The sequence below is a fragment of the Homo sapiens genome, chromosome 2 (assembly GCF_000001405.40).
Source record: "Homo sapiens chromosome 2, GRCh38.p14 Primary Assembly".
NCBI classification, from domain to species: Eukaryota; Metazoa; Chordata; class Mammalia; order Primates; family Hominidae; genus Homo; species Homo sapiens.
The window spans coordinates 68,672,510-68,680,786 of record NC_000002.12 but is presented as its reverse complement, the minus strand read 5'-3'; the positions used below and the strand labels follow the sequence as shown (position 1 = coordinate 68,680,786).

The 8,277-nt window shown below is 41.0% G+C and overlaps 2 annotated features.

Annotated features, from left to right (window-relative positions):
- Positions 406–1,030: an enhancer, noted in NCBI's record as "NANOG-H3K27ac-H3K4me1 hESC enhancer chr2:68906889-68907513 (GRCh37/hg19 assembly coordinates)". NCBI's record gives its function as "activates a minimal SCP1, AML or CMV promoter by ChIP-STARR-seq in naive H9 embryonic stem cells {active_cell/tissue: H9 hESC(naive)}" and the evidence as "EXISTENCE:reporter gene assay evidence [ECO:0000049][PMID:30033119]".
- Positions 1,031–1,655: an enhancer, noted in NCBI's record as "NANOG-H3K27ac-H3K4me1 hESC enhancer chr2:68906264-68906888 (GRCh37/hg19 assembly coordinates)". NCBI's record gives its function as "activates a minimal SCP1, AML or CMV promoter by ChIP-STARR-seq in naive H9 embryonic stem cells {active_cell/tissue: H9 hESC(naive)}" and the evidence as "EXISTENCE:reporter gene assay evidence [ECO:0000049][PMID:30033119]".

The following is an 8,277-nucleotide window of genomic DNA, read 5'->3' as shown; positions in this document are numbered from 1 at the left end:
CAACCTGGAATTTTCTGCCCAGATATGCCAACAGCTTTTTCCTTTACCTTATTGAGGTGTCTGCTCACATGCCACCTCTTTCAAGAAAACTAAATCTAAAACAGCCATCAATCTAAAATAACCATCATCCCCAATTGCTGTTGGTCTTCATTTTCTTCATTTTCTACAGTATATATTCATTTGTTTATTCCCTGTCTATCCCCACAAGGATATAAACTCCAGAAGCCAAAGCTTTTTCTGATTTTCCCACCCACCAGACTTCTAGTGTTTAGAGCACTGCTTGCCACATAGTAGGCCTGTAATAAGTATTTGTTAAGTGAATGCATGAAGTAACAACTTTGAACTTACACTGCAACCCTAACTGAATGGGAAAACAATTTTTCTAAAATCCTACTACCAATTAGTTATGCAATCTTCAGCAAATTCCTAGAGCCAAACTTTCTTTTCTATAAAACAAAGAGTTTAGATTAAATAATTGCTACATTGTTTTCCAGCTTGTATATGTTCACTTTATAAACCCTAAAATTTCTGTAGAAAAATAGAGAATGCAGAAATAAAGCTGTACACCTATAGCCATCAAATCTTTGACAAAATTGACCAAAATAAGCAATGGGGAAAGTATCCCCTATTCAATAAATAGTACTGGAATAGCTTGCTAGCCATATGCAGAAGAATGAAACTGGACCCTTACCTTTCACTATATACAAAAATTGAGGAGGAGCCAAGATGGCCGAATAGGAACAGCTCCGGTCTACAGCTACCAGCGTGAGCGACGCAGAAGATGGGTGATTTCTGCATTTCCATCTGAGGTACCGGGTTCATCTCACTAGGGAGTGCCAGACAGTGGGCGCAGGTCAGTGGGTGCGCGCACTGTGCGCGAGCCAAAGCAGGGCGAGGCATTGCCTCACTTGGGAAGCGCAAGGGGTCAGGGAGTTCCCTTTCCTAGTCAAAGAAAGTGGTGACAGACGGCACCTGGAAAATCAGGTCACTCCCACCCGAATACTGCGCTTTTCTGACGGGCTTAAAAAACGGCGCACTAGGAGATTATCTGCCGCACCTGGCTCGGAGGGTCCTACGCCCGCGGAGTCTCGCTGATTGCTAGCACAGCAGTCTGAGATCAAACTGCAAGGCCGCAGAGAAGCTGGGGGAGGGGCGCCCGCCATTGCCCAGGCTAGCTTAGGTAAACAAAGCAGCCGGGAAGCTCGAACTGGGTGGAGCCCACCACAGCTCAAGGAGGCCTGCTTGCCTCTGTAGGCTCCGCCTCTGGGGGCAGGGCACAGACAAACAAAAAGACAGCAGTAACCGCTGCAGACTTAAATGTCCCTGTCTGACAGCTTTGAAGAGAGCAGTGGTTCTCCCAGCACGCAGCTGGAGATGTGAGAATGGGCAGACTGCCTCCTCAAGTGGGTCCCTGACCCCTGACCCCCAAGCAGCCTAACAGGGAGGCACCGCCCAGCAGGGGCAGACTGACACCTCACACAGCCAGGCACTCCAACAGACCTGCAGCTGAGGGTCCTGTCTGTTAGAAGGAAAACTAACAAACAGAAAGGACATCCACACCAAAAACCCATCTGTACATCACCATCATCAAAGACCAAAAGTAGATAAAACCACAAAGATGGGGAAAAAACAGAGCAGGAAAAACTGGAAACTCTAAAAAGCAGAGCGCCTCTCCTCCTCCAAAGGAACACAGTTCCTCACCAGCAACGGAACAAAGCTGGAGGGAGAATGACTTTGACGAGCTGAGAGAAGAAGGCTTCAGACGATCAAATTACTCCGAGCTACGGGAGAAAATTCAAACCAAAGGCAAAGAAGTTGAAAACTTTGAAAAAAGTTTAGAAGAATGTATAACTAGAATAACAAATACAGAGAAGTGTTTAAAGGAGCTGATGGAGCTGAAAACCAAGGCTGGAGAACTATGTGAAGAATGCAGAAGCCTCAGGAGCTGACGCAATCAACTGGAAGAAAGGGTATCAGCGATGGAAGATGAAGTGAATGAAATGAAGTGAGAAGGGAAGTTTAGAGAAAAAAGAATAAAAAGAAATGAGCAAACCCTCCAAGACATATGGGACTATGTGAAAAGACCAAATCTACGTCTGATTGGTGTACCTGAAAGTGACGGGGAGAATGGAACCAAGTTGGAAAACACTCTGCAGGATATTATCCAGGAGAACTTCCCCAATCTAGCAAGGCAGGCCAACATTCAGATTCAGGAAATACAGAGAACGCCACAAAGATACTCCTCGAGAAGAGCAACTCCAAGACACATAATTGTCAGATTCACCAAAGTTGAAATGAAGGAAAAAATGTTAAGGGCAGCCAGAGAGAAAGGTCGGGTTACCCTCAAAGGGAAACCCATCAGACTAACAGCTGATCTCTCGGCAGAAACTCTACAAGCCAGAAGAGAGTGGGGGCCAATATTCAACATTCTTAAAGAAAAGAATTTTCAACCCAGAATTTCATATCCAGCCAAACTAAGCTTCATAAGTGAAGGAGAAATAAAATACTTTACAGACAAGCAAATGCTGAGAGATTTTGTCACCACCAGGCCTGCCCTAAAAGAGCTCCTGAAGGAAGTGCTAAACATGGAAAGGAACAACTGGTACCAGCCACTGCAAAATCATGCCAAAATGTAAAGACCATCGAGAGTAGGAAGAAACTGCATGAACTAATGAGCAAAATAACCAGCTAACATCATAACGACAGGATCAAATACACACATAACAATATTAACTTTAAATGTAAATGGACTAAATGCTCCAATTAAAAGACACAGACTGGCAAATTGGATAAAGAGTCAAGACCCATCAGTGTGCTGTATTCAGGAAACCCATCTCACGTGCAGAGACACACATAGGCTCCAAATAAAAGGATGGAGGAAGATCTACCAAGCAAATGGAAAACAAAAAAAGGCAGGGGTTGAAAGTTCATATGGAACCAAAAAAGAGCCCGCATCGCCAAGTCAATCCTAAGCCAAAAGAACAAAGCTGGAGGCATCACACTACCTGACTTCAAACTATACTACAAGGCTACAGTAACCAAAACAGCATGGTACTGGTACCAAAACAGAGATATACATCAATGGAACAGGACAGAGCCCTCAGAAATAACGCCACATATCTACAACTATCTGATCTTTGACAAACCTGAGAAAAACAAGCAATGGGGAAAGGATTCCCTATTTAATAAATGGTGCTGGGAAAACTGGCTAGCCATATGTAGAAAGCTGAAACTGGATCCCTTCCTTACACCTTATACAAAAATCAATTCAAGATGGATTAAAGACTTAAACGTTAGGCCTAAAACCATAAAAACCCTGGAAGAAAACCTAGGCATTACCATTCAGGACATAGGCATGGGCAAGGACTTCATGTCTAAAACACCAAAAGCAATGTCAACAAAAGCCAAAATTGACAAATGGGATCTCATTAAACTAAAGAGCTTCTGCACAGCAAAACAAACTACCATCAGAGTGAACAGGCAACCTACAAAATGGGAGAAAATTTTCGCAACCTACTCATCTGACAAAGGGCTAATATCCAGAATCTACAATGAACTCAAACAAATTTACAAGAAACAAACAAACAACCCCATCAAAAAGTGGGCAAAGGACATGAACTGACACTTCTCAAAAGAAGACATTTATGCAGCCAAAAAACACATGAAAAAATGCTCATCATCACTGGCCATCAGAGAAATGCAAATCAAAACCACAATGAGATACCATCTCACACCAGTTAGAATAGCAATCATTAAAAAGTCAGGAAACAACAGGGGCCGGAGAGGATGTGGAGAAATAGGAACACTTTTACACTGTTGGGACTGTAAACTAGTTCAGCCAGTGTGGAAGTCAGTGTGGCAATTCCTCAGGGATCTAGAACTAGAAATACCATTTGACCCAGCCATCCCATTACTGGGTATATACCCAAAGGACTATAAATCATGCTGCTATAAAGACACATGCACACGTATGTTTATTGCGGCACTATTCACAATAGCAAAGACTTGGAACCAACCCGAATGTCCAACAACGATAGACTGGATTAAGAAAATGTGGCACATATACACCATGGAATACTATGCAGCCATAAAAAATGATGAGTTCATGTCCTTTGTAGGGACATGGATGAAACTGGAAATCATCATTCTCAGTAAACTATCGCAAGAACAAAAAACCAGACACCACATATTCTCACTTATAGGTGGGAATTGAACAATGAGAACACATTGACACAAGAAGGGGAACATCACACTCTGGGGACTGTTGTGGGGTGAGGGAGTGGGGAGGGATAGCATTGGGAGATATACCTAATGCTAGATGACGAGTTAGTGGGTGCAGCACACCAGCATGACACATGTATACATATGTAACTAACCTACACATTGTGCACATGTACCCTAAAACTTAAAGTATAATAATAATAAATTAATTAAAAAAAATTAACTCAAGATGGATTAAAGATTTAGTATAACACCTCAAATTATAAGAATCCTAGAATAAGGCCAGGCACAGTGGCTCACACCTGTAATCCCAGCACTTTGAGAGGCTAAGTGGTTAGATACTTTGATCCCAAGAGTTCAAGACCGGACTGGGCAACATGGCAAATCTCTGTCTTTACAAGAAATACAAAAATTAGCCAGGCATGGTGGCAGGCAACTGTAGTCCCAGCTACTCAGAAGGCTGAGGTGGGAGGATCACCTGAGCCCAGGAAGGTTGAGGCTGCAATGAGTCAAGATTGTGCCACTGCACTCCAGCCTGGGTGACAGAGTGAGACCCTGTTTTTTTTTTTAAAAAAAAAAAAAAAAAAAAAAAAGGAATCCTAAAACCTAGGAAATGCCATTCTCGACATGGGCCTTGGGGAATAATTTATGACTAAGTCCTCAAAAGCAGTTGCAAGAAAAACAAAAACTGACAATTAAACTGAAGTGCTTCTGCACAGCAAAGGAGACTATCAACAGAGCAAACAGACAACCTACATAATAGGAGAAAACATTCACAAAGTATGCATCTGACAAAGGTCTAATATCCAGAATCTGTAAAGAACTAAAAAAAATTCAACAAGCCAAAAACAGCTCCATCAAAAATGGGCAAAAGACATGAACAAACACTTCTCAAAAGAAGACATACAAGCAGCCAACAAATATATGAAAACATGCTTGTCATCACTAATCATCAGAGAAATGTAAACCAAAACCACATTGAGATACTATCTTGCACCAGTAACAATGCCTATTATTAAAAAGTCAAAAAACAATAGATGTTGGTGAGGCTGAAAGAAAAGGGAAAGCTTATACACTGTTGTTGGAAATGTAAATTAGTTCAGCCACTGTGGAAAGCAGTTTGGAGATTTCTTAAAGAACTTAAAATAGAACTACCATTCGACCCAGCAATCCCATTACAGGGTATATAGTTAGAAGATAAGAAATCATCCAACCAGAAAGACATGTGCACTAGTATGTTCATTGCAACACTATTTACAATAGCAAATATATGGAATTAACTTAAGCGCCCATCAATGGTGGACTAGATAAAGAAAATATGGTACATATACACCATGAAATACTATGCAGTCATACAAAAGAACAAAATCATGTCCTCTGCAGCAACATGGATGCACCTGGAGGTCATTATCATAAGTGAATTAACACAGGAACAGAAAACCAAATACTGCATGTTTTTATTGATAAGTGGGAGCTAACCATTGGGTGCTTATGGACATAAAGATGGAAACAATAGAAACTGGAGATGACTAGAGTGAGGAAGAGGGGGAAGAAGGGTTGAAAAACTAGTACCCAACAGTTGTTGGGTACTATGCTTACTATGTGAGTGATGGGATTATTCATATCCCGAATTTCAGTATCACACAATATACCCAGGCAACAAATTTGCGTATGTACCTTCTGAATCTAAAATAAAAGTTGAAAAAGAAAAAAAGTTCCGTAAAAGTTTCGATTGAGGTATTTTTAGGTGGGAGCATCAATACTAGACTGAGTAGCAAGAGTGTAACCTGGGTTTGAGGGAGGCTCTGTGACAATTGCTGAAATGGAAGTCCAGATCCACTGGGGATTTGGTTCCTTACAACTCATCATGTATCAGGAATGGCTCTGACCAGGGTCACACACAGGTGTACTTGGGCTGGCAGGAGAAACTGATAAGATGCCAAGTCTTGTAGTCATATATTCTTCTAAATTGCAACAAAATGAAGAGTTAAGCCTTCTGACACATATTCTTGCAAAGTCTTCTCTTTCATAATTAAGATATTCACAACCAAAAATTATAAAAGCTTATAGCAGATAAAACCTTCCAAATAATTTGTTCTGGCCCATCCTGCTCTAACATTCCTCTTCTCCTCTTAACTGGCTTCATTTGATCCTGGCCCTAGTTAGGTTCTCATTGAGGCCATTTCCTCCCAACTCACTCCCTATATTTCAATACATTGCTTTATCTTCTGCATGTTGTCCCATAACCTAGTTGCATTTTCCTGAGAGAAAATATCCATCGTGTTATTCAAAAATACAGGAAAATTTTACCCTTTTATGAGAACTTATTAGAATGAAGAGCCTCCCTTGGGCATTAGCCCACTGTGAGGGAAAGTTAAAACGTCTAGTTGCTCCCCCAAGTACAGACCATGGCTCCATAGGTGAGGACTCAAAGACCATGAAGAATCACAACTTTACCTGCTCTCTGGGGCTTTACCGAGGCTGGGGACCAGAGTAGACTCTTTGCCCTTGGCCATTGAGATTGAGAAGAAAACCTGCTCAACGTTATCAAATCAGGTCTCCTGAGGCTTCTAAGGGGCAGAGTGAAGTAGCAGGATAAGTTTTTGGCAACAAATCAAGACCCCAATCTCCACTCCATGTTATTTCCAAGCAGCTGTGCGGCCTTTCTGGACCTCAAACCTCAAACCTTTAAAATTAGGGGCTGAACCTCCAGCCTTCAGTTACACATGACAGATTAAAGACTCCCGTGAGTCTCTAATGTTTCCTAAACCTCATGAAAATGACTGCAAAGAGATTTTTTTTAACAAAGAAAATGAAAGCAGGAATGGAAATAAGATAATGAAATTTAGAAGCTGGAAAGCAAATGAACTTAGTTGTCCAAGAAGGCTAAATCCCCAAAATCAGTGAGGAAAGCTGAGAAGCAGCCATGTTTGAACCATTGAACCCTCCGAAGTTCCAGGAATTAGTAGGACTTGGCATCTTTGGAAGTGAGGGTAAAGACAAGGTTGAAAGCAGGGAGATGAAAAGAAAGTCTGTTGGAAAAAATTTTGACTCCAGATCTCTTCCCATCATTACTGACCTGGACATCTGCTCTGACCTATTCAGATAAAACCAGAAGGCTATTTTTTGAAGAGGATTAAACAGAGATGTTGAAGATTTGGGCCATAAAACACAGTTGATGGAAGGGGTACCGTCAGAAAATAGGGGATTGAGTTTAAAGTTGACAACCTGAATGTAGAGAGCCCAAAAAGGACACTAGGAGATCCTTCTCTGAATCATAACCAGCCCAAGAGAAAAGAATTGAAGATAAATCTTGTTCCCAAAAGATCTAGCCCAGCTACAGACCCTAGTATCATGTCCATAGTGAACAAGCCTTCTCTTTATGCCCAGAGCTCCAAGACAGCCTATCAGTACCTCATTATTAAATATGAAGGAAGAGTCAAGAATTACCAGGCAACTTGAGGAAAGCATCTAATATAAAAGACAGACCAAAGCAAATAGAAAAAATAAGGGTTAACCCTTATTAAGCGTATACTGTGAGCTAGGTACTATTCTAAGTACTTTATGTATATTTACACACTTAATCTTCACAATCACCATTTAAGTAAATACTATTATTACATCCATGGAAAAAGTGAAGGAACTGAGGCATGGAGACATTAAGTAACTTGCCCAAGGTCACACTGTAAGCTGAGAAGCTGTCATTCTAAGCTGGCAATCTGTCTCGTGTCTATGTCCTTAACCACTAAGCCTAGAAAATGATAATAATTAATAAAATACAACACACTTGTTAGCAATAGAGACAATTCAAAGAACAGAGTAGTTCACAAAGTAACAATAATATCCCCTGAAAGATAAGAGAAAAAATTGCATCTAAGATACAAGAAAAGAATGCTATAAAAATTGAATATTTGGAGCACTAATAGAGTCTTAGCAATTAAAAATATAGAAACTGAAGTGAAAAACTTGATGGAATGGAAGGCTTCCAGAAATTAAAGCCAGTCATAGGTGGTTTCCCAGCTTCCAAACTTTGCCCACTCCCCTGCCTTCCCCAGC